The 27,717-nt window shown below is 39.1% G+C and overlaps 1 long non-coding RNA gene across 2 annotated transcripts in view, besides 1 other annotated feature; it reads left to right on the top strand.

The window, feature by feature from the left end:
- LOC101927947 (uncharacterized) overlaps positions 1–27,717 on the top strand; it is a 469,997-nt gene that overhangs the window by 335,294 nt on the left and 106,986 nt on the right. The gene's annotated exons all lie outside the window — the stretch shown is intronic.
- Positions 25,327–25,527: a silencer, noted in NCBI's record as "peak5134 fragment used in MPRA reporter construct". NCBI's record gives its function as "represses an SCP1 promoter by STARR-seq MPRAs in K562 erythroleukemia cells {active_cell/tissue: K562}" and the evidence as "EXISTENCE:reporter gene assay evidence [ECO:0000049][PMID:32103011]".

The following is a 27,717-nucleotide window of genomic DNA, read 5'->3' on the forward strand; positions in this document are numbered from 1 at the left end:
AGGAAGGTGGGAGACAAAGATGTTGCAAAGACATGGCTGAAATTATTGACTGTATGGTCCAAGCTGGGTGAGAAAATTGAAACCAAGAGGAATTTGAGAGGGTATAGGGAGGCATGATGAGAGTGGAAATGTCACAGTACAGACATAGTTAGAGTGTGAGAAGTGGAAGAATTAGAAGTAGAGATTGGAGAGTGAAATTTTGCTAAGAGAATATGCTAGGGTCTGAATGTTTGTGTCCCCTCAAAATTCGTGTGCTGAAAACCTAATCATCAAGGTGATGATATTAGAGGATGGGGTTCTTGGGAGGTGATTAGATCACGAGGGTGGGGCCTTCATGAATGGGGTTAGTGTCCTGACGAAAGAGGCCCCAGAGAGTTCCCTTGCTCCCTTTCACCATGTGAGGACACAGCTAAAAGGCATGACCTATGAGGCAAAAAGCAGGCCAATGGCAAACACGGAAACTGCTGGCACCTTAATCTTGGACATTATAGCCTCCAGAACTGTAAGAAATATTTCTCTTATTTACAACCTACCCAGTGTATAGTATTTTGTCATAGCAGTCTGAACTGACTTTGACAGACAATTCCTGGTAGTGGCTGGTATCTGGACTGTGGCCCTGGGAGTGGACTGATGTGTAAGAATGAAGGCAAAGTTCGATGATCTGTGAGGCTGGGAAGATACCCAAATCAACACATACATCGCCTCATGTAGGATACATTAAGACTCTGGTTGAAGAGAAAGTCTACATCAATTTAGACCACTTGGCCTCTGAAAAGATGTTGCCCTTGTTGATTTTCTGTGTATATATATATATTGCTGAGTCTTTGGTTGATAATGCTTTTTTTTTTTTTAATTCTCAAGAGTCAAAAAGTCCCCACAGAGAAGACCCACTTGCTAATCCTGAGCAGACCATGCAATGGAAGCATCTTGAGGCAGAGTGGTGAAGCTGAAAGCCCTGGACTAGGAACTGGAGCTGTAGAGTCCTGCTGTGGTTCTGCTGTTGACTTACTTGTTTAAATCAGAGATGAAATAACAACCTCTCTGGGCCTCTTATCTGTGAAATGAGAGGTTTGGCTAATGTGGTTTCCCAGGAATTTTCTGGCTCTAAGTTACATTCAATTTCAGCAGAATATTTGTTTCTAACCTTTCCCATGCTGCTGCTGAGTTGGCCTAATTGCTAGCCCTCCACTGATTTCATTCTGCCCCACCCCACCCTCAGATGACTCCTTCTTTCCACTTAGAGATAACAGCACCAATTAACTCAGGATAATTTCCCTCACTGCCAAAACTATTTCCAAAATGCAAACTTGTGGCTGCTGATTCATGCTGCTAGAGAAGCACTGTTTCTTTCTGACTGGCTTCACGTGTGTTGCCACTACAGGAAGAGACCAAGTCACTGGTAAAAAGCTAGGGTAACCAGGAGAAATGGCCCCTTCAGATGACACTGTGAGAGTCAACAAGGTAAGAAAGAGGAAGCTTTAAAATCACCACCATCATCATTTTTGAAATGTGGAAAGTTAGTTATGCATGGTGCTTGCCCTTGGGTACCTTAAAATTGAAAACATATAAGCAAAACACCATATATGGCCTGGCACAGTGACTCATGCCTATAAATCCCAGCACTTTGGAAGGTGGAGGTGGGTGGATGGCTTGAGCCCAGGAGTTTCAGATCAGCTTGTGCAATATGGTGAAAGCCTGTATCTGCCAAAAAAAAAAAAAAAAAAGAAAAGAAATACACAAAAATTAGCTGGGTGCAGTAGTGCATACCTGTAGTCCCAGCTACTCAGAAGGCTGAGGCAAGAAGAACGCTTGAGCCCAGGAGTTTGAGGATGCAGTGAGCCATGATTGCACCACTGCACTCCAGCCTAGGTGGCAGATCAAGACCCTGTCTCAAAAGAAAAAAAAAATATCAAAAACCAACAAAAACCAAAAACCATATAAACATCATCTTGTAAAGTAAATAAATATATAAGTGATTTAGGAGTCAACACATATTACTCAAGAGCACCCTATTGAGGCCCCAAGTCTCATTGACAAGATCTAATTGGAGTTTATATCTGTAAGGCCAACACTATGAGAATGAATGGGGTGATGAGCAGAAAAATAGTAGGGCTGGGGAGGGGACACAAAGAGAGACATTCTCAGCACAATGCCCAAAGGAGCTCCTTCTTTTACATGGCTAGATGACAAGAGGAAGTGATGAAGTCATAAAAGGAGTCAATGAGAGAGAAAGAAATGGGTGAGCGAAGTTCCTCAGTATCAAATAAAATGTAGTTCAAAGGAGGAGAGGCTGGTGTGAAGAGGAAAATGACAAAGGTGAGTCAAAAAAGCTAGGCCTGGAATAGGTTTTTGGAATTATCCATTATGAGGTCATTGACAACTTTGTCATAGGAGTTTCTGTGGAATTACAGGGCAGGATCCAGACAACATTAATTTACATAGCAAATGTTTGGAATGAAAGTGATGTTTCTAAGTCGAGACTATTCTTTCAGAAAAATTAACAGCAAAGTTTGGTACTCAAGGGGATAATAAAAACAAGGGAAAAATTTTGAGGAGGAATAAACCTTGGCCTGAGGTTAAAACAAAAAGGAAGAATTGATTGGAAGCAGGGCATTAACAACACATAGAAGAAGAATGGCACAATGGATGAAGCAGAAACCAGAGAAAGGAGACGAGCTCACAATCCTGGGTGAAGGAATGAGGGGAAAGGAGGGTAAAGAGATTCTGAGTTTTCAAAAATAAAGGATATCAGCAGAGAGGCAGATATAAAGCTGGCCAGTAACTTTTATGTGGAGAGTTTCTTGAAGATTTCAAGCATAGGAAGAGGGGAGAAGAGCAGAGTGCTATGATCCAAGATCTAGGCTTAGAAAGTTCCAGAAAAAGAAGAATTAGAACAAGTAATTGGCTTATCTCCAAATATGCCCAAAGATGGGACCGAAGACATTGCCTCACCTGCATAACAGGGAACAATTTACTATAAAACTAGAAATGATTGGAGCAAAGGTTGATTCTCTCACCTCTTATTACTGTTGTCTCCATTTCTATTACTAACATGGAGGGGCAGGAAAAAAAAAAACAAAGAAAAATCATTGCTGATCCTAGTAAGGACTTCTGCACATATGTGACCAACTGCTCTGTAGAGTGTATATTTGACAACCCAGAGTTCTGCTGGTGTGGCATACAACCATTAAATTACCTAAAACTTCTTGTTAGCTAAAAAATAGTTTCTACTTATATCATTTGTAAGTATCCTCAGTATACTCTAATTTTTTGCTGACTGGAGACCTATTTTGGGAAATATATACAGGTCCACAGCTCCTTATCAAAACAGCACCTAAGTAAGGCTCAGCCTCTTCTACTGAGTTTCACACACTATAGTAGTGGTCAATAAGCTTTATTCTCAGATATACATTCAAAGGTTTTAAAGAAAAAATACATACTTTTTCATAAATTTTTAAGTTAACATCTAAAATTTTTCATTAACACTATAAATGATTACAAAGGATATCATTTTCCTGTGTGTTATAAATGAATGACATTGAAAAATAGAACCATTACTTCATTTTTTGAAAAGTACTAATGACATCAAAATACCATAGTGATCATTTAAAAACAAATTTTTGATTGACATATAACATTTAAAAATGTACCAAATTATGAGTGTACATCCCACTGGTTCCACAGAGTTAAGACACTCATGTAACCAGCAAACAGACAAACAGTTTAAGAAGTTCTTCTTCGCTCCTTCTAAGACAGTCCTTTGCCACAAAGGTAACCATTATTGGGACTTTAGTATCACAGATTAGTTTCCTGTTTTTAAACTCTATGTAAATGGGATTATATAGTAGTTATGCTTTTGAATATGGCTTCTTTTGCTCAGTATTAAGTTTATGGAATTTATTGTTGGGAGTAGAAATACGTCATTCTCCTTGCTGTGTTGTAGTCCTTAGTAGGAATATACTGCAATTTATTTATTACATTTTTAGTGTACATTTGAATTATTTTCAATTTGAGGCTATTATGGGCAGTGCTGCTGTACATATTTTTATTCATGCTTTTTTGTGATGTATGTAAACATTTATGTTAGTTGTATGTCTAACAGTGAAACTGTTGGAAGATTGGGTCATGCATATATTCAGCTTTTTTTATATATTGTCATATATTCAGACATTTTTCAGGGTATTTGTACCAAATTATCTTTTTATTAGAAGTATGTGAGAGTTTTAGCTGCTCTGCATCATTTGATAGTCTCTGTTTATTTTTCCTTTTACCTATTCTAGTGAGTATAAAATTTGAGCACTTTTCAAATTTTTTTGGTTCTTTGGATATCCTTTTTTTGTAAGTCTCTTTCCATTTTTCTATTGGGTTATTCTTTTTCTTATTGATCTGTTGGTACTCTCTGTATAGTCTCTATATAAGCTCTTTGATGTACATATTGCAAATATCCTATTTCATTCTTTGGCTTTCAATTTTACTAGTGGTGTCTTTTATATGCAAGTTATTAATTTTAATGTGTACCAATTTTTAACTATTTTCCTGTATGGTTAGTACCTTTTATATCCTGTATAAGAAATTTCTGCCAACTCAAGATTATGAAAATGTTCTTGCAAGTACTCCTCTAGAGGTTATATTATTTCAGCATTCACATAAATATAAATATAATCTCAATATGATATAATATAAAATTACTACTGTATTACATAATTAATTAGGTAAAAATCAATTTGAATTGACTTTTGTGTACTGTGTGAGGCAGAAGTAAAAGTAATTCTCCCCTGCTTCATAGCCAATTGACCCAAGAATATTTACTAAAATGGCATATATTTCCACAACACTGCAAGGCCATCTTTGTTATAAATTAGGCAACCTTATATTTGTGGTTATGTTTCTATTTGGCTATCTTCACCATGAGAATTTGATTTGGTCCCTGGCAGTAAAACCCACAAAACTGAGTCCCCAGAAGTTCACCCACTCTTAAGCTAGTCCACAGGCATACTGTAGCAGTTCCTCAACAATTAAGTGTTCCTACAGTTTATGGCTCCAAGTGGCTTCTGCTTAAGGTGAGCTGATCTCAACTGTGATTCTCTGTATTCACTTATCTCTTCAAATTTCACAGTAGCAGTTTGTCTTGCAACCTCAGTTTTTTGATGGATCTAAGAAAAGTCATTTATTTTCAGTTTGTTTAGTGTTTTTTTGTAGTTGTTGCAAGGATGGAAGCGACAACTTCTAGGCTCTTGTTGAAAGTGAAACAAGAAGTCATCCTATCTTTTTAATGTCTAAAAAAATCAGTGGTAATATCCCATTTTTTACTCATGATATTGGTAATATATGACTTTCCCCTCCCCTCCCCTCCCCTCCCCTCGCCTCCCCTCCCCTCCCCTCGCCTCCCCTCCCCTCGCCTCCCCTCCCCTCCCCTTGCCTCCCCTCCCCCTCCCCTCCCCCACCCTTCCCCGCCCTTCCCCGCCCTTCCCTTCTTCCTTCTTTTCTTTTTACTTTGTTTTTTTTTTTTTTTTTTTTTCCAGAATCTTGCTCTATTGCCCAGGCTGGAGTGCAGTGATGCGATCTCGGCTCCCTGCAACCTCTGCCTCCCGGGTTCAAGCAATTCCCTTGCCTCAGCCTCCAGAGTAGCTGGGAATACAGGCATATACCACCACGCCCGGCTAATTTTCTTGTATTTTTAGTAGAGACGGAGTTACAACATGTTGGTCAGGCTGGTCTTGAATTCTGACCTCAAATGATCTACCCACCTCAGCCTCTGAAAGTGCTAGGATTACAGGCATAAGCCACCCACCCAGCCTTTTTTTTTCTTGACAGTTCTTGTCAGAAGTTTATTAATTTTATTAATCTTATGAAATAAGTACTTTTGTTGACTCTATTATATATGTATTTTCTTTTTCTTTTTTTTTTTATTATACTTTAAGTTTTAGGGTACATGTGCACAACGTGCAGGTTAGTTACATATGTATACATGTGCCATGTTGGTGTGCTGCACCCATTAATTTGTCATTTAACATTAGGTATATCTCCTAATGCTTTCCCTCCCCACTCCCCCCACCACACAACAGGCTCCGGTGTGTGATGTTCCCCTTCCTGTGTCCATGTGTTCTCATTGTTCAATTCCCACCTATGAGTGAGAACATGCAGTGTTTGGTTTTTAGTCCTTGTGATAGTTTGCTGAGAATGATGGTTTCCAGCTTCATCCATGTCCCTACAAAGGACATGAACTCATCATTTTTTATGGCTGCATAGTATTCCATGGTGTATATGTGCCATATTTTCTTAATCCAGTCTATCATTGTTGGACATTTGGGTTGGTTCCAAGTCTTTGCTATTGTGAATAATGCCACAATAAACATACATGTGCATGTGTCTTTATAGCAGCATGATTTATAATCCTTTGGGTATAGACCCAGTAATGGGATTGCTGGGTCAAATGGTATTTCTAGTTCTAGATCCCTGAGGAATCACCACACTGACTTCCACAATGGTTGAACTAGTTTACAGTCCCACCAACAGTGTAAAAGTGTTCCTGTTTCTCCACATCCTCTCCAGCACCTGTTGTTTCCTGACTTTTCAATGATCACCATTCTAACTGGAGTGAGATGGTATCTCATTGTGGTTTTGATTTGCATTTCTCTGATGGCCAGTGATGATGAGCATTTTTTCATGTGTCTTTTGGCTGCATAAATATCTTCTTTTGAGAAGTGTCTGTTCATATCCTTCGCCCACTTTTTGACGGGGTTGTTTGTTTTTTTCTTGTAAATTTGTTGGAGTTCATTGTAGATTCTGGATATTAGCCCTTTGTCAGATGAGTAGATTGCAAAAATCTTCTCCCATTCTGTAGGTTGCCTGTTCACTCTGATGGCAGTTTCTTTTGCTGTGCAGAAGCCCTTTAGTTTAATTAGATCCCGTTTGTCAATTTTGGCTTTTGTTGCCATTGCTTTTGGTGTTTTAGACATGAAGTCCTTGCCCATGCCTGTGTCCTGAATGGTATTGCCTAGGTTTTCTTCTAGGGTTTTTGTGGTTTCAGGTCCAACATTTAAGTCTTTAATCCATTTGAATTAATTTTTGTATAAGGTGTAAGGAAGGGATCCAGTTTCAGCTTTCTACATATGGCTAGCCAGTTTTCCCAGCACCATTTATTAAATAGGGAATCCTTTCCCCATTTCTTGTTTTTGTCAGGTTTGTCAAAGATCAGATGGTTGTAGATGTGCGGCATTATTTCTGAGGGCTCTTTTCTGTTCCATTGGTCTATATCTCTGTTTTGGTACCAGTACCATGCTGTTTTGGTTACTGTAGCCTTGTAGTATAGTTTGAAGTCAGGTAGCGTGATGCCTCCAGCTTTCTTCTTTTGGCTTAGGATTGACTTGGCAATGCGGGCTCTTTTTTGGTTCCATATGAACTTTAAAGTAGTTTTTTCCAATTCTGTGAAGAAAGTCATTGTTAGCTTGATGGGGATGGCATTGAATCTATAAATTACCTTGGGCAGTATGGCCATTTTCATGATATTGATTCTTCCTACCCATGAGCATGGAATGTTCTGCCATTTGTTTGTATCCTCTTTTATTTCATTGAGCAGTGGTTTATAGTTCTCCTTGAAGAGGTCCTTCACATCCCTTGTAAGTTGGATTCCTAGGTATTTTATTCTCTTTGAAGCAATTGTGAATGGAAGTTCACTCATGATTTGGCTCTCTGTTTGTCTATTATTGGTGTATAAGAATGCTTGTGATTTTTGCACATTGATTTTGTATCCTGAGACTTTGCTGAAGTTGCTTATCAGCTTAAGGAAATTTTGGTCTGAGACGATGGGGTTTTCTAGATATGCAATCATGTCATCTGCAAACAGGGACAATTTGACTTCCTCTTTTCCTAATTCAATGCCCTTTATTTCCTTCTCCTGCCTGATTGCCCTGGCCAGAACTTCCAACACTATGTTGAATAGGAGTGGTGAGAGAGGGCATCCCTGTCTTGTGCCAGTTTTCAAAGGGAATGCTTCCAGTTTTTGCACATTCAGTATGATATTGGCTGTGGGTTTGTCATAGATAGCTCTTATTATTTTGAGATATGTCCCATCAATACCTAATTTATTGAGAGTTTTTAGCATGAAGGTTGTTGAATTTTGTCAAAGGCCTTTTCTGCATCTATTGAGATAATCATATGGTTTTTATCGTTGGTTCTGTTTATATGCTGGATTACGTTTATTGATTTGTGTATTTTGAACCAGCCTTGCATCCCAGGGATGAAGCCCATTTGATCATGGTAGATAAGCTTTTTGATGTGCTGCTGGATTCGGTTTGCCAGTATTTTATTGAGGATTTTTGCATCGATGTTCATCAGGGATATTGGTCTAAAATTCTCTTTTGTTGTTATGTCTCTGCCAGGCTTTGGTATCAGGATGATGCTGGCCTTATAAAATGAGTTAGGGAGGATTCCCTCTTTTTCTATTGATTGAAATAGTTTCAGAAGGAATGGTACCAGCTCCTCCTTTTACCTCTGGTAGAATTCGGCTGTGAATCCATCTGGTCCTGGACTTTTTTTGGTGGGTAAGCTATTAATTATTGCCTCAATTTCAGAACCTGTTATTGGTCTATTCAGAGATTCAACTTCTTACTGGTATTTTCAATATTATTAATTTCTACTTTAAAAAATTATTTTTGCCTTCCTAGTAATTTTTGTGGGTTTAACTTGTCCTTTCTCTAAACTTACATAATAATTACATCATAGACTTTCATTCTTTTTTGTTTTCTAATATATGTATTTAAATATATAATTTCTCTCTTAGCATTGTTATGTGTATCCTACAACTTCATATACATAATGTTTTTATTCCATTTAAAAAATAATGCCATATTTTTGTTATCATTAATTTCAAAATATCTTCTGATTTCATTGTGATTTTCTCATTTGGATTATTTAGAATTGGATGCTTAATTTACAAAAAGAAAATCTTAGTATTTGGATAATTACTTTATGTTACTAATGACTAGCTTAATTTCAGATAATATATTCTGAATGAGTTTAATCCTTTTAAATGCATTGAGGTTTATTTCATAGCCAAATATAGTTGATATGGGTAAATATTTTAAATGTACTTGAAAGGAATGTGAATTCTTTTTTAATAAGTACGTTGTTCTATATATGTCAGTTAAGTTTGTTAATTGTGTTGTTCAGATTTATGTCATTAATTTGTTGTTGATTGATTTGCAAATGGTGAGAGATGGATGTTAGTCATCCACTTCTATTTCTCCACCTAGTTCTTTCAACTTTTGCTTTTTGTATTTTGAGGCTATGTTATTCATTGTATACAGATATAGAATTTTTATATCTTATAAACTATCTCTATTTTTAGTAATGTTTCTTGCCTTTTTATTTAAAGGCTACTATGATATAAGTATAGCTACACCAGCTTTCCTTTGTTTATTATTACCATGTTATCTTTTCCATTCTTTTACTAACAACTTTTCTGTGGCCTTATTCCTAATACATGGCTTTTAGAAGAAGAATCTGTTTTCTAAAAAATCTAGCCTGAGAATTTTTGTCTTTTATTTTGAGTATTTAGTTTCTTATATTTAATGCGATTTTTATACACTTCAGTTTTTACTTTCTATGTTCCCTTTCTCTCTTTTCTAGCCTTTGGTTGTATTAATCAAATATTTTTATTGTTCCATTTTTTGCTTTATTATATTGGTAATTGTACATTTATATTGTTCTTTGGTGATTATCCTAGAGATTATCGCATATATCTTGAATTCTTTGTAGTCTTAATATAAATTAGTATATTTATCCATTCCCAGATAGGACCTTGGAGCACTTTTACTCTATTTACTTTCCGCCTTTTATGTTACTTTCCCAGGGATTTTAACTCTACATATACTTTTGATACCACAACTCATTATTATTATTGTTCCATATAGTCAATTTTTTTTTGTATTTATCAATCTGTTTGGTTTTGACTCCTTCTGACATTGTATTCTTTTCCTTTGCTTGGGGAGGAGGAGATATTATATTATTTTTCCTTTTGCTGTAAAAATTCTCAGCATTTCTTTCAGTAAACATCTGCTAGTGAGGAATTATCTATTTTTGAAGGGCTAAAAAATCCTCATTTTGCCTTGTTTTTATAACAGATATTGTTACCAGGTATAGATTTCTATGATGACAGTTGTTTTCTTCCCATACTATAAAGGTGTTTTTTCTGTTGCCCTCTGTAGACAAGTCAGCTGTCCATCTTATTGTAGCTCATTTAAAGATAATGCCTTTTTTCTTTGGCTTGCTTTTAAATTTTTATCTTTTGTCTTTGGTTTTAACAGTTTTTTCCTCTAATATGCCTAGATGTCATTTTCTTTGTATTAACTCTACTTTAGTTTGTAGCACTTTTCATTCTGGAGGAAGGATTTTCATCCTGGAGGTGTGTTTACATCTGTAGACGAATTTCATTATGCCCCAGATATCTCTTTTTTTCTCTTTCTCTCTAGAATATCTATTATTCTGTCTTTTAGTTCACTAACTTTTTTTTTTGCATATCCAATCTGCTGTCAAAATCTTCTATTGAGTTCCTTATTTAAAATATTAAATGTTTCACTTTCATAATTTCCATTTGATGTTTCAAAATATTTAGTTTCCAGCTGAAATTCTTCACTTTAATAACTATTTTCTTGAACATGTCCATCACATACATTTTAAAGTCTGTTTCAATAAACGGGCCATCTATAATTCTTTTATTTGCTTTTTGGTTTCATTTCTTGATATGCTTGCCAATCTTTTAAAATAAACTACTTTTTAGAGAACTTTTAGGGTTACAGCAAAATTGAAAAGAAAGAACAGTGAGTTACCATCTTCCGCTTGCCCACACACACACTTGCACAGTGTCCCCCATTGTTAACATCCTACCCCAGTGTTGTACATTTGTTACAATCATTGAATCTACATTAACACATCCTTATCACCCAAAGTCCATGGTTTTCATTAGAGTTCATTCTTGTTGTTGTTTATTCTGTGGGTTTGACAAACATATAATGACTTTTATCCACCTCTATACTATTAGACAGAATAGTCTCACTACTATAAAAATCCTCTGTGCTCCATTTATTTGTTCCTCCCTCCATCCTTACCTCTGGCAGTCACCATCTGATCTATTTATTGTCTCCATAGCTTTGCCAGCCTGCTTAGCAATTTTTGAGTGAATGGAAGAATTTTTGAGTGAATGTAAGAGGAAGTACAGAGGCTATGGATGATGTTGCCTTCTTCTGGAGGGGCATCATTTTTATTTTTTGATAGGCAGCCAGGGTGACACAGATTATTTCAATCCAATCAATGACTAAACTGACTTGAGGCTGAGTTTCAGTTTTGTGAGGTCTAGTCAATTCTTTTTCTCTTTGCCCTGCAGTGTATAGCATATAGCAGCCTCACCGAGGATTTGGGATGCTTCTTTGGAGGTTTCTAAATATTTTTCCTTTCAGCTCTCTGAGACAGCTAACATACCACTCTGCTTTTCAGAAACTTTTTGCATAGTTACACAGAATTCTACTCTGGCAAATTCCTCTGAGGGAAAAAAACACTAAGTATTGGCCATATTTATTTGTATTTTCTTCTTCCTCGATCTTAGCCCCTCAAGCCCTAGATGTCTTCACTCCCATAAGTATTATTTTTGTCCCTGCAGCCCATCAGATTGCCTAAAACTCTGCTGGCTTCTATGTCTCCCCTCCATGTTGTTCTACTTTGGTTTTTAGCCTCCTGTCCAGGACTAGAATCAACAAATGGCTCATGGGGAAATTTGTTTCAGTGAATGTTAGCTCATTCTTCTTCCTTTCCTCTGAGATCATGGCCCATGAAGTCTAGGTTGCTTTAGTATATCTTTGATACCTCTAAGAGAATTTTTGTTTGTCTTTTATTTAGCTTTTTTAGTTGCTTCATCAGAAACATGGTCTGCTGGAAGCTACTCTATCTTAGCACAATGTGACAATGATTTGATAAACACCATTATCCTTTTTTTAAAAAAAAGCTCTACAATGCTGGAAATTTTACATTGTTCCTTTTGTTCTTTGAACTGGTTTATGTCCATATTTTATTCTGCTTCCTCCATAGGAATCCTATGTGATTTAGGATCCTAATGTGGTATAACTTTTTACTAAAATGTCTATGCATCACCCTATAATAGTTTTCTGAAACAAAATGGACACATACAATATTTTTAAAACATTTAACATTCTATTATCAATAGTCTCTAATTCGTTAAGTCTCTAATTCTGTATTTCTCAATGTTACATAGTTGAATTACCTAAGAACATTTAAAAATTGCCGATGTAATTTTTGTCCTAACCCTAGAGATTCTAACTTAATTGATCTGGGGTGCAGCCTTGGCACTGAGATGTCTTTAAATCTCTTCAAGTAGTTATAATGTGAAGGGAATCACTGCTGTAACTGCTAAAAAAATGTTCTTCTGGTTTGAGTAACCATTGCAAATGTGTTGGTACACAGTCACAATAAATGAAATACGTTATATATTTGGATAAAAGATAGTTCACAGACTCTTTTTCAAATTGTACCTTTGTCACTTTAGAAGTGTTCGTAGGTAAGGGTAATACATAAGTATGGATAAGAGGCATGCCTTTTGTTCCAGATAAGTAAGATATGTCTTTTCTTTTCTTTTCTTTCTTTCTTTCTTTTTTTTTTTTTTTTGAGATGGAGTCTTGCTCTGTTGCCCAGGCTGGAGTGCAGTGGTGCAATCTCTGTTCACTGCAACTTCCGCCTCCCAGGCTCAAGTGATTCTCCTGCCTCAGCCTCCCTAGTAGCTGGGATTACAGGCACACTCCACCGCACCCAGCTAATTTTTGTATTTCTAATAGAGATGGGGTTTCACCATGTTGCCCAGGTTGGTCTTGAACTCCTGACAGGTGATTCACCCGCCTCGGCCTCCCAAAGTGCAGGGATTACAGGCGTGAGCCACTGTGCCCGGCTGTCTTTTCTTTCTTTTTCTTTTTTCTTTTTCTTTTTTTTTTTTTAAGGTGAATAAGGGCATTTGTAAAAGGGATAGTAGGAAAGAAGTGGCCATAACCAAAGGCATATTCTCAGGCAGATTAATATTAGGAAAGAATACAAATGCAGCTGGAGGATCTGGAACTTGATAGACTTAAAGCTGTTCTTGCCACATACCCCTAGGAAAATCTTCATGTATCCCCCAAATTAGGTAAGGGGTATATTACTTTGAAAACTCTGTTTTATAATATGTTAGATAATGTTCTTTTTCCCTTCCAAATTAATTGTTCACCCTCTTCCACCCTGCTCTCTGCCTCTGGAGGCTGACCTCAATGAATGCCAGCAGACTTTCTTGCCCTCTGGCTTCTGGTTAGGTTTATTCAATTGGTTAGGGAAGAGATCAGGTCAAGGTGTTCATTTTCTAAGCTCCCTTTCAGCAGGGTTTTCAGTCAGCAGGAAGGCTGACTCCCTTGATTCAAGGTCACAGTTCCTCCTAGGTGGCCATCTCTACCTGACTTTCTCCTTGTTCTTGGTAGTCATTCCATCCACTTCTCCCCTTGAGAAGGTAACACCCCCAGGGTATTATATAATGCTTCTGATTTTCCCATAACATTTGAAAACAGCCTCTGCATGAAATCCTCCTTAAATTATCCTAGTTTGCCTGGCTGGTACAGATAGGAACAATGGTATTCTCGGTGGGACTCAGTGTTTTCCACAGAAGTTAACTGAGATCGGGAATGTTATTGAACAGGATTTCTAGTTCCTCATCCTCTCTAATTAGACAGTACAACAATCTTTTATGAACTAAACCTCAATTTTGCCTGACAAACCTGGTATTATGGCTCTGTCGATACACAGATCCCAGAGAATGAATGCTTCAGCTGACATCATTTCAAACTAATACTGGGAGAACATGGGTATTCTGTTCCGGATCATTTCCTGCCCACATCTTTATCCTTGGCAAATGAGGGATAATTTGACAAACACTAAAGGAGGAATGTCAAACCTATACAATACGTACATTCCTCCATCACTTTTCCCCACTTACCCCTTATTTATATGCAATTCTGTCTTTTATTGTTTGTAAATCATTTCTTGGACGTCAGTCTCCTCTTCTTAGCCAGATTGTAAGTTTCATGGGGACATAAGCCGCAAACTTATATGTCTTTGCAGTTTATACAGCCTGAAAATTTTCTACTCAACTCTCTTCCAGCTTACCTGTCTTTTGCATGTCCAATCTGGTGTCAAGCTCATTTAGTGAGTTCTTAGTTTTAGTTATTACATTTTCTTCATTTATTTATTCAACAAAAATATTGAGCACCCATTCCATGCTAGGGATTGGGTGGATTGTAGGATATAAAAGAGAACAAGGACCCTGACTAGTGTTATTAAATAAGGATAATAACTGATTTTAGAAGACTGGTTGCTTTAAAAGGGTCACATGCCCTCATTCATCTTTCATGAAACCACATCCACCCTCATGGTGGTTGCCAAGGATTTTGGTTGAAAACAATATAAACCAACTTTTGTGTAAGGACTTTGTTGTAGATTACAGACTTAACCAAAAGTTGGAACACTGGGTGATATGGCTTGGATTTGTGTCCCTACCAAAATCTCATGTTGAATTGTAATCCCCAGTGTTGGAGGGGGGCTTGGTTGGAGGTGACTGGATCATGGGAATGGACTTTCCCCTTGCAGTTGTTGTGATAGTGAGTTTTCACAAGCTCTGGTTGTCTAAAAATGTGTGGCATTTCTCTCTCTTCCTTCTGCTTTGGCCATGTAAGATGTACCTCCTTCCTTTTTGCCTTCTACCATGATTACAAGTTTCCTGAGGCCTCCCCAGCCATACTTCCTGTATAGCCTGCAGAATGGTCAGCCAATGAAACCACTTTTCTTTATAAATTACCCAGTCTCAGATATTTCTTTATAGTAGTGTGAGAATGGACTAATACACAGGCAGAAAACAGGTAGAGACATAAGGAGTCTACCAGGTGAGAATTTAGTCAGAGCACACAGGGGGTCACAGCACTGAAGATGAACACCTGGTTGTATGACTGACTCTAATGTCTCTCTAGAAACTGGACATCAGAAGTCAGTACTTCCCCTGATTCAGGAGGATGTTGTCAACTGTCTCTTCTCCTTGGGTCATACTTAGTCCAGACTCTAGAATCCCATGGTGATTATCTGTGGAGCTGAGTTTAGGTCCCTACCAGTTGCTAGGGGTCTGGGAGAACAAGGATATTCAGGAATTCTGAGAAGTGGCATTCCACTTCAAATTATGACTCACATAGTAGAAGATTTCCCCAATATGGGAAGGGGCCCCAAATGCTTAGTAGCCAAAAAGTGCTCATAACTGTCCACCCCATTTATAATAAAGTTTGTGGCCAACACATTGGCAATGGTATTATGCACAGGTAAACTACTTTGAAAGTGCTGAATATTTCAGATGCCCTTGAAGCCAGCATTTTTGGGATAAATATTAATGACTTCTTTAGGAATGGAACTATTCAGAGCAAGATTTTCAGTTCACCCAAATATTTGTAAGGACAGAACAGAGCACAATGAATTCATTCATTTACTTCTGTAAATATGTATTGACCACATGTTAAATGCAAGGAGGTCAAGAGTAGAAAAGACATAGCTGCCCCACCCCCCACCATTCCAGCATCAGCTTCTAGCCTAGTTTTGGGAACTGTGAAATTACAAGGATTTCACTTTACTAAAATTTAACCCAGAACATTCTCTCTCTCTCTTGCTCTTTCTCTCTGTCACTCTGTGTTATTATACTTAGTGTTTCTCTTGTGGAGAAACTAGTATTAGTTTTCTAGTTTACTCGGTAACTAGTAAAATGAAGAAAATGACCCAGTGTCAGAAAATTTACTACCCAAAATAAAAATTTTGGGTAAAAAACATCAAAGAAACCCAAAAGTGAATGCTGGCAACAAAGATAATGATATAAAAGAGAAAATACATCTATAAAGCAAAAAATTGGAAAGATTTTTGCTTTTCTTTTTCCCCTATATTCACCATCCACTGGATGGCAGCTCTAAGGTAACACCATGAGAATGTGGCCATTGCAGCTGCTGAGATAGAGCAGCTAATCTGTCCTGTGCAACTGACTAGGCTCTTCATGATTTCACTTGGACTTTACAACAATCCTATGAAGTAGTAGATATTATTATCCTGACTTTCTAATTAACAAACTGATTCTTCAAGAGGATAAGTACCTAATGTAGTCACACAGTTAGTAAATAACAGAGCAAGGAGTCAAAATCATCTTTACCTGACTCTAAAGCTGAGCTCTTAATGATGGCTCTATACATCTTCTCATTGAAAAGCCAAGGTCTGTGGCATATACATGTCTGGAAGATGTTTGTTGGACTTGAAACAGACATCTTCTCTGCAGGTGGCCCTGGGATCTGGTTTGATAGGAGGTGGTGGTTGGGACATTTTATTTTTGAATTTGCACTTGTAAGCTTGTTATTTGAAAGAATGTCGATGATGCCATTTTTAGCCATTCAACTGGTTACGGAGCATGTGCCAATGAGGCGTTTTGTTGTAGTGTGTCCTGACTGCTGTCTTATATGTCTTTATGTAACTACATGATCATGGTGAAGACACAGCCTAGAGATTTCTGTGACTGCCTGCATCTGACTATAGTGTGTACAAGGTAAACTCTAAGGAAATGGCCTCTTGGTTCTTTCTGTGTAAGATTTCTTTTGCTATGGAGTCACAATCTCCAGTCTTTTATCTTATCAATATTACTGCTTCATTTGCAAGTATCTTAAAAATAAAAGAAAGGCTGCTTCTTGGACTTGACTTTATAGAACACCGCACGTGCCAAAGCCATTCCAAATCTTACCTCATTTTGAAATGCCTTTGTGGCTGGTTTTATTTTTCCTTCCTTTCCCTTATTTTAGATCATTTATAACACATTTTATAGGTCGGCGTCAAACAGCAAGGCTTCAACAGTGTGGGGACTATTGCTGGAAGTCATGCCAGAACACACAACTGTAATCCACTAAGTTAATGGAAATGCAACATTATGGCTGAGATTTTACGTGTGTGGAAATCATGAAAACTCACAAACCCAATTCGCGCAACACAAAGAGAAAAGAGAACTGCCCTCTTTTCTATAAGCAGCTGGCCCGCACGCGGTTAAAGACTCCATTTGCGGGGTAGGAGACCCTTGGTAGTTCACATTTCAATAAATCATAAACATTTACATGCATATTAAACACCAAAGGGCTTGCAACCATTTTGCTATTACCTAGATCTATTGAATTTTCATTGATGCCATCAAAAACCAAAGTGCAAGACAAAAAGCTGTTTTATTAAAAACTTTACATTTGATCAGATCAACATCTCCAATGTCCCCAGGAGAGCAGCAACATAGAAAATAAGGTTTTGTAGTCCCATTTGAGCTCACTGGATGCTCCGTTTTACAACCGCAGCTTTCATCCCGATACAAACCTCACATCTTTTTGCTAAGCAGAGTTAGCAGGGAAAAAAAACTGTAAAGCAATGGTTCTCAACCTTGGCTGCACTGGAATCATCTGGAAAGTTTTATGAATCCCGATGCTTAGGCTGCACCCAGACCAATTACAGCAGAATCCTTGAGGGTGGGACCAGGGCATTCATATTTTCCTAAAACTTCCCATGTGAACATGAACCCATGCTGAGGCACCTTGCCCTTGGTAGTATTTCTTTTTTCCTTTTCCATGCCTCCTTTGTTCTTCATTGGGTTCCCCCACTTGCAGATCTGTCTGGGAAATTCCCCGAACTCCAAAATAATTTTTTACCCCACAAAAACTATTTCACAATAACACGAAAGCTTAATGTTTGCTTTAAAGGAAAATGATCTCCAAGGAGGGAAAATGTTTTAAATGGAACACCTGATTTCCAATACCATCACAGGGCCAATATCAGAGAGGTTGTGATGTGGATTTTTTCTCTCTCTTCAACCTCAAGGCACTTCATGAAAGAAATGGTCTGTTCTGACTATTTCAAGAAAACTCGGTTGCTGTGGATATACATGCGGTATGAATAAGAGCAGCATTTTAAAATATGTGGGCCATGGGCCATTGCATCAGTCACCTGGGCTCCAACTCCAGACACCTGAATGTCTCAAATAGGGGCCTGGTTATTTGCATTCTAATAAGCTCCCCAGTGATGCTTATGCAAGCACATTTTGAAAAGTCTGGAACCAGCACGTTAACTCTCTGACAGCAGTGCCTTCTGTATAGTATCAGTGATATGGTCTGCCTGTGTCCCCACTCAAATTGCATCTTGAACTGTAGTTCCCATAATCCCCATGTGTCATGGGAGGGACCCAGTGGGAGGTAATTGGATCATAGGGGTTTTTACCTCCATGCTGTTCTTATGACCGTGAGTGAATTCCTACAAGATCTGATGGTTTTATAAGGGGCTTTCCCTCCCACCTTTCACTCTGCACTTCTCCTTCCTGCCATCATGTGAAGAAGGATGTATTTGCTTCCCCTTCTGCCATATTGTAAATTTCCTAAGGTTTCCCTAGCCATGCTGTACTGAGTCAATTCAACCTCTTTCCTTTATAAATTACCCAGTATCAGGTATGTTTTTATTAGCAGTGTGAGAACAGACTAATGCAATCATTTCATACAAAATATAAGACAATTAAAGTGGAAGAAATATTGAGTCCTATGCTAATACAATTAATAGGTGGGAATGAATTTTTATAAAGAGTTAAAATACAACAGAAATATCTGTTGTCCATGAAGCTGTTGGGTTTCACTGATGATAAACGTATTTGACTGTGTGTTTTGGTGGATAAATAAAAGGGTCTTCGAGGGGATTTGCATCATCAAATTCCATGCACTAAAATTTCATGCTTCTATGTCAAAATCTATGTTTGGCCAGGCATGATGGCTCACACCTGTAATTTCAGTGCCCTGGGAGGCCAAGGTGAGAGGATCACTTGAGTACAAGAATTTGAGACCAGCCTGGGTAACACAGTTAAACCTCATCTCTACAAAAAATTAACAAAATTAGCCAGGCACAGTGGCACATGCCTGTAGACCCAGCTATTCAGGAGGCTGAGGGAGGAGGATTGCTGAAGTCCAGCAGCTTGAGATTGCAGTGAGCTGTGATCCTATGACTATGCCACTGCACACCAGCCTGGGTGACAGTAAGAAACTCTGTCTCAAAAAAAAAAAAAAAAAAAAAAAAAAGAATCTGTGTTTTGATACAGCCTTGGCTACTCTCTGTGTGACCTTGGACAAATTACCCAATCCCTCAATTATCATTGTCAGATGGGGGCCCCAGTGCCTCACAGACTATGTAAAAATGTAATGAGATGATTTATGTGCTTTATAATCTGTAATGCACTACACAAGTAGTGGCTACGCCTGAAGCTCCCATTGTCCAGACCCACATCATCATGCTGCACAGAGCTCAAGAAAGGTCTAGTCTTAATGAGGGGACACATCAATCAGTTTAGTGGCTGGGCTGGGACAGCAACCCAGGACTACTGGCTGTATCCAGTTTTTTTCCACTCCCCCCCAACATCTAAATTGAAATGTTTGACTCAAATTTGTATCATATTGAGCAAGGAACTCAGAGCAATGATTTGAATTCCTTGTGTGACAGAGAAAAGTAAAATTTAAGTATTTTCAATCCTTCCTTTCTCATGTCTTCTAAAGAGAAGGGACACTTTTTCAAGTTAGGTACCTGAAGTTTGTTCTGCTAAAGAAAGAGGTAATAGGTAGAGAGAGTGGGAAGCGCTGAGAAGGCCAAACTGTGCTACAGGAGAAAAGGCTAAGAGCAAAAACCAAGATGAGAGGTAAGAGGAACTAAGCAGAAGAGGGCAAGGAGGATGAGGAGATAGGAGAAGCAGGTGGAGACGGGGGAAGGCAGTGGGCACTGCCTCAAGGAGTGGAATTCCTGGAGGGAAAGAGATGTTCAGGGAGGGTTTTTAGGAAACTTCGCTTTCCAAAGATGCACAACACAGTCTCTTTCTTCTCTCTGCAAGGCACCTTCAGGGATGACCTGCATTGCCTTTAAGTGCTTTTAGTGTCCAATTTGGGTTTACTTGTATGTTTGTTTCTCAGAATGCATTGGCGTATTGAGTTTGGCATAAGAAAAGAGTAAAAGTTTAAGATAGTTACATCTATTTAGGTAAATGTTTTATCACCATTTTTCTCTTTGAGGTTTAAAAAAAATTACCGAAGGTAAATGAACCACCATTCAAAACAAAATACACATAAATTCGCACACAGTAAAGGCTTATTAAGTGGGTCAGGCCTTGTCTTTACTTCTGGATTTCCCCCCTCCCCCGCAGGATAAGGAGACAACCCTAGGCTAGGCCCGCAGAGCAAACGGAGTTTTGCAATTCCTTTGTCTGTTAAATCTGTGGTTCCAGCATGAGGCATTCTGAGACTTTCCGTGCTCATCCAGTGTCACAATTTTCTATAACTGTTCCCATCTCACTGCCTTTCTGCCTCATGACCATCTATATCCTGATTGTTTTGCATCACTGCTGTGGTTTGAAAACTGGTGTCCCCTCCAAAATTTATATTGAAACTTAATTCCCACTGTGGCAGTATTAAGAGGTAGGGCCTGTATTAATCTATTATCACACTGCTATAAAGAACTGGTGGAGACTGAGTGATTTATAAAGAAAAGAGGTTTAATTGACTCACAGTTCCACAGGCTGAGGCATGGCTGGGGAAGCCTTAGGAAACTTACAATCATAGCAGAAGGGCGGAGGGGAAGCAAGCACATCTTCCCATGGCAGCAGGAGAGAGGGAGAGAGAGAAAGAGAAGAAGAAGGAGAAGGAGGAGGAGGAGGAGGAGCTACACACTTTCAAACAACCAGATCTCATGAGAACTCACTCACTATCATGAGAACAGCAAGGAGGATATCCGCCCCCATGATCCAATCACCTCTACCAGGTCCCTCCCTCAACATTAAGGATTACAATTCAACATGAGATTTGTATGGGGACACAGAGCCAAGCCATATCAGGGCCTTTTGGGAAGTGACTAAGTTGTGAGGGCTCTTGCCTCATGAATGGATTAATGCCCTTATAGAAGAGGCTTCAGAGAGAATGTGCCCTTTCATGGCCCTCTGCCTTCTGCCATGTAGGGATGCAACAAGATGGCCCTCACCATATATCAAATGCTGACACCTTGATCCTGAACTTCCCAGCCTCCAGGACTGTGAGAAATAAATTTCTCTTTATAAATTACCTAGTTTGAAGTATTTTGTCATAGCAGCACAAATGAACTAAGACAGAAATTGGTACCAAAGAGGTGGAGTGTTGCTTTAATACCTGAAAATGCAGAAGCACTTTTGGAACTCGGTAATGGGTAGAGGCTAGAATGGTTTTGAAATAAATGCCAGAAAAAAACCTATATTACCACTAATAGAGCATTAAGGGCAATTCTGGTGAGGGCTCAGAAGAAGAGAGCTATGGAGAGAGCCTAAATCTTGGAGATTATCTAAGATGTGAACAGAAATATTGGTAGAAATGTAGACAGTGAAAGCCATTTTGATGAAGTCTTAGACAAAAATGAGGAATATATTATTGAAAGCTGGAGGGAAGGCCATCCTTGTTACAAAGTGACGAAGAACTCGGTTAAATTGTGTCCATGTCCTACTGTTTTATGAAATGCAGAATTTGAGAGCTATGAACTAGGATATTTGACAGAAGTAATCTCTAAGCAGAGTGTTCAGGGCACTGCATGACTTCTCTTAACTGCTTGTAGTAAAATGTGAGAAGAGAAAAACAAGTTCAAGATGGAATTTATAATCAAAAGGAAAAGTGAACGTAAACATTCTGGAAAATTCCCAGCTTGGCCATGTAAAGAATAAAAAATTGCTTAGAAGAGAAAACCAAGGGTGTGGCCAAGTGACCTTTTGATGAGGAGATTAGTGTGGCTAGAAGGAAGCCAGATGCTATTCATTAAGAAAATTGGAGAATAACCCCAAAGGCATTTCAGAGATAATCAATGCTGCTACTCTCATCGCAGGCCTACAGCACTAGGACCACCTTAAAGACAGGACCCTTTCAAGGGAGGAAGGGACCCAGGGCTTCCTCACGTCTCTTCTTCCTGCATTCCAGTGCAGCACTCCTCTCTCCACTTCCCCCACCCTGTCACCGCACTGCTGGGGCTCCGGTGAGCTGAGGTGCAGCACAGGCTGTCCCCCGGAGGGCACATCTGCAAACCTTGGCAGTGTCCACATGGTGCTAACTCTGCAGGTGCTCAGAGTGCATGAGCTGTGCAGGCATGGCTACCTCTACCTGGATTTCATAGGATGCTTCAGAGAGTCGCAGGGCCCTGGCAAAGAATTGCCACAGGGTCAGAGGCATGTGAACCAGGGCAACTCCATTCTTGAATAGGAGCTGGGTAAAATGAGGCTGAGACCTACTGGGCTGCATTCCCAAATGGTTAAGGCATTCTAAGTCACAGAATGAGATAGGAGGTCATCACATGATACAGGTCATAAAGACCTTGCTGATAATACAGGTTGCAGTAAAGAAGCTGGCTAAAACTCACCAAAACCAAGATGGCTATGACAGTGACCTCTGGTCGTCCTCACTGCTACACTTCCACCAGTGCCATGACAGTTTACAAATGCCATGGCAATGTCAGGAAGTGACTCTATATGGTCTAAAAAGGGGAGACATGAATAACCCACCCTTTGTTTAGCATATCATCAAGAAATAACCATAAAAATGGGCAACTAGCAGCCCTCGGGGCTGCTCTGTCTATGGAGTGTCCATTCTTTTATTCTTTTACTTTCTTAATAAACTTGCTTTCACTTTACTGTATGGACTCTCCCTGAATTATTTCTTGTGTGAGATCAAAGAACCCTCTCTGGGTCTGGATCCGAACCCCTTTCCTGCAACAACAGGGGTAGGGACACTGCAGCGAACCCTCAAAAGGGCAATGCCTCATGGAATTGTATGGGGCAGGGCTACTCCTGAGATGCTAGATCTGTAAAGCAACCATCATGCAACTCCCCACCCTGGGGAGAGCCACAGACACTCAACGCCAGCACATGAGAGCTGCAGTATGGGCTGTGCCCAGTAACACCATGCAGGTGGAGTCCCTGAAGCCTGGGGGACCCAAACTTCACCCTAGTGTGTCTGGAAGGTGCAATCTGGAGTCAATAAAGATTGTTCTCAAGCTTCAAAGTTTAATGTTGTGTGCCTTGTTGGATTTTGGACTTACTTGGGAAGCTATTACTCCTCTCTTTTTGCGTATTTCTCCCTTTTGGAATGGGAATGTCTATCCTATGCCTATCCCATCATTGTATTTTGGAAGCACATATTGTTTGATTTCACAGGCTCACAGCTGGAGAGTAATTTGCTTCAGGATGAAGAGTACCTTGAATCTCACCCATATCTGATTTAGATGAGGTTCTAGAGTTTAGACATTTGAGTTGATACTGGAAACAGTTAAGACTTTGGGGGCAATTTGAATGGAATGAATGTACTTTGTAGGTAACAAGGTTATGGATTTCTGGGGGGCCAGGGGTGGAATGCCATGGTTCAAATGATGATGTCACCTCCAAAATTTATGTTCAACCTTAGTCCCCATTGTGATGCTATTTAGAGGTAGGGCCTTGGGGAAGTAATTAAATAATAAAGACTCCACTCTCATGAATGGATTAATGCCTTTATAAAAGAGGCTTTGGAGAGAATGTGCCCTTTTCCTGCCCTTTGTCTTTTGCCATGTGAGTGAGGATGCTGCAAGAGGGCCCTCACCAGACACAAAATGTCAGCACCTTGATCATGGCCTCCTCTGACTCCAGAAATGCAAAAAATTAATTTCTATTCTTTATAAATTACCCAGTCTCAGGATTTTGTGATAGCAGCAAAAGCAACCTACGGCAATCATAGTCCATTTTTAATCCGTATCATACTACAGTTTTCATCTGTACCCAGTCTCTTTGGTTTCCGATCCTTGGCCCAGTTTTCCATTTATAATATGTAGTTTGTACTAGTTTCTCAAACTCATTTCCTCACCTTCATCCCAAGGACTAACTTCTGGCTTTCACCGTTCTCTGTGGCTCCTGTGCACCTCTTTGACTTCCTTGCTCTCAAACCTCTCTGGCAACACCTTCTGCCATTCCAACTCCCCACCAGGCCTTATTTCCAAGACCAAGACCCAGAAGTTAGCTAACAGCTCTTGTTAACCTCACTCCTACCCCAAAAGCACCAAGGAAAAGGTCAATGTCCCTTTGAAAACAAGGCTACAGGGTATTGTATTCCCTATCCATACTTTAATATCTCAAGGACTAGACTCGCGTGTTAAATGTAGGCATCTACACACCTGACTGGCATAACCATATCTGTTGTAGTTCTGAGGCAGTAATGAGTAAACACACACACCCCAGAAAACTACTCCTGCGCCTCCACACTTACGTATGTGTGTGTGTTCATGCTAGTGCGTGACTCTATCTAGACCTCTACATTTGGTGTTTATTAATTTTTAAGATATTTTAATTAGAAAACAACACATGTGTTCTACGCTATTTTCATTTGTTGATAAATTCTTTAATTCTTAACCAATTCTATTCAAGCTTAGCAAAGAAGAACAAAGATACATTCTGTATTCTTAAAACCCCATCTGTTTTCTCATGTATCAAAATAGAAGAGAATAAGAAGAGGAAAACCTCACCTGGACTATGCCGTTTTTCCCATGAGATGATCTTGGAGGTCACATTCTTTTCACCATTATTTCCAAGTTGCCCTCTGAGGGCAGAAGCATAATGCAGTTGAGCTCCAAAGCTAATTTGAGCAAAACTATTTATAGTCTGAATAAAATATTTTTATAGACTTAAGTAGCATTAAAATCAACAGCAAAACAGCTGTATTTTTGTGAGAAATAAGAAGTGAGTCTACAGAACTGTATCGTGGATGCTCTTTACTACCTTTTAAAATTAGCACATTTTCACCATTAGCACTACTACATTCTTTCTTAGACGACCAGCCCCACATTTCAGCTCTGCCTCTTCACTAGGGAGCACATGAGGGGGATGCCAAAGAGAGATAATTGCAAAAACATGGCGCTTTATGCTTCAGTTGCCAGCTTTTCCCACCCCAAATAATACACTGGAATCTCAAGTCATGTGTAATTCTTTCTGAAGAAAGCATAGAACTATTTTGAAGGAAAATGCATAAAGAAAAAGTGATTTGTTTGAAGGGAGAAAAATGCTACTTTTTCCCGTTGTCAGGATTATCAAACTGTTTGTTTTTAACTGCTTTTATCCCCGTGTGAGATAAAGAGAAGTCAAAATGAATTCATTAAAGTCACGTGAGCTTATTTTTCAGGAGATGGGTATTAATATTTTATTTTAGAGTCTCTGTCATTCAATCTGACAGGTGTGGCCAGGCAGGGTTGCTGAAACCAACTCATCCCCACTCTGGTCTCATTTCCTCTCCTTGGATAACAGTCACAGAAGCCACATGCCAATGTGCTGAGAGTCACATTTTCCATCAGCAGCATTTTGCTATTTGGAAAGTCCTTAAGCAGTTGTGCCGGCTGCCTTGGAGTTACCTGCAATATGGCTCATGTGTTCCTCACAGACCGCCTGGGAAGCTTTGTTAGTCTCAGAGGCATTTATTAAATGTTTAAAACAAAGGCAAGTTACCTTTGTCTGTCAAATCTGTTTTTGAACATGGTCTTGAGTTACTCTGCGTTTCAGGATAGTGCAATAATTCTGTGACGATAAATGAGAATTGGATTTGAAAACGAAGCACCAGTTGTTCCTACTACTGTCCTTTTCTGCAGAAGGAGATCTGTGTTGTGTAATTCAGCTTTCATATGTGCCTCTTCTGGCACCTGTTTTTGCATGAGGATATAGAGTACACAGAAATTTATTGTTTGCCTAGAAATTTCTTATGTTCACAAGTTGATTGCTGCTCAATCTGTGGCTCAATGGATGACTATGAAGTGTAAAAATAGTTAAAAACATTTCTAAACATTTAGTTTCATTGTTTTGTTTCATTAGTTCAATGTTCACAGCAATAAATGGTTCTTAAAACATCTCTGAAAAGTCCAGTGGAAAACAGAAAATATGAAGGAGGAAATGACCCTTTCTAGCAGAGGGTAGGTGCAGAAGCTCAAACCTCCCTTTCTTTTCCTGATTCCATTCGTCAGTGCTCTGCAGAAGTGGCCCCTAGAGAAAAGTTTCTCTACACATGTCTTGGTGATAGTGTGGAAGCTCAGCTAAGGTACACCCAATCTTCAAAGTCCTGAGTAAAATAATGAGAATCTCTTCACCACTTGGCTAAAAATTTATTCTCCAGGAAGAATCTAAACATTGGGAAAACAAATTAATTAACAGCAGACAATGAAACATCCCCCAGGTTGGTACTTCGTTACTGAAATCAGTCCCCGAGCCATCCTGAAGACTCTGGAAGGGATAAACAGGGGACTGGTTCAAATTTCTACCGTTTCTGGCATGATCTCCCACAAACCTATCAAGGAATTTCCCTTTAATCAAGTGTTCACATAAAAGACAACAAATAAAAAATCTTAAAGAAAATTAGAAAGGGAAAAATTTACAAAGAATTATCAAGAATGTTTGGTGTATTATTGGTAAGATGCATTACCTGTGTGGGAAGTAGGACTTACCAGAGAGAACCTATTGATCAGTTCTATTTATCCAATAGCTGTGACTGCTCAAAATGCTGAGGTACCACCCCAGCCACCTGCAACAAAGTCTGAGGCCAGAGGTGGCCAAATTGCCCAAGTGTGCAGTGATTTCAATGTACTAGGTACATTGCATTGTACCTGGGACAGTGGAATGTAGAGAAGACCTCTATTAGACATGCCCTCTATCTTTCCTAATTCAGCAGTGATTTTATGAATTAGATAATTGATTTTCCTCTGCAGATGTTTGCAAGTTTTAAGCAATTAGTCTCAATATTTGCATGAACCTTTATTTATCTTAGAGGAAGGTAATTTGGTGCTATCTGTCTTTGAAATTGTTTTCTAGTCCTTTTCCACTTGTTTCCCTAGGCACCGACTGAAGACAAAAGAAACTTCTCCAGTGGATGAAGTTGTCCGCTGGCATCCACAGCAATGATGTCCTTGCTTCCCAAAGTGTACACATTGTTTGCTAGTGAGTGAGCTGACTGGGTTGTGCCATCTTTCCTGCCCCCACACATGAAGACACATTCCTTTTGCTCTCTAAATAACCTTGAAACAGGCTAAGCTTTCCAGAGCTCATTTATAGAAATCCTCGATTTATGCAAACACAGTATCATGCAAAAGAATTAAAAAGGAGAAACAGAATTTGAAATAGTAGTGCAAGGGAAGAGCTCAATGAGGACCACCCTGGAGATGGAGAAAAGATCCAAAGTCTGTTTCCAATTATGAGCTTCTAGGAGGAGAATGAGTTATATTTAAAGTAGTTCCAAACCAGGTGAGGATGGAGAGGTCATCTGTGTTGAAGAGGGGTGGGGCAGCATGGCTGGTGGCAAGTTGTGACCCTTGTTTATAACTAAAATTAGATAAGTTTGCATACAAACAAAAAACAATGTGCCTTTGGATATAGTGTCTACAGTTGGGCAGACAGAATGGGGAAATAGAGAAAGGCTTCACTTAGGATGGAGAGAGGGTCAGACCGGTGTTATTAAAACATTTGGAGTGGGAAATCCTGGCTTTGTGTCTGAGCTCTGCCAGGTTGTAGGTACTTTGGGTAATCCATTTCAACTCTGTGGGTCACAGCTTAGTTATCTTTCAGTG

This window comes from Homo sapiens, chromosome 4, assembly GCF_000001405.40.
Source record: "Homo sapiens chromosome 4, GRCh38.p14 Primary Assembly".
In the NCBI taxonomy this organism is placed as follows: Eukaryota; Metazoa; Chordata; class Mammalia; order Primates; family Hominidae; genus Homo; species Homo sapiens.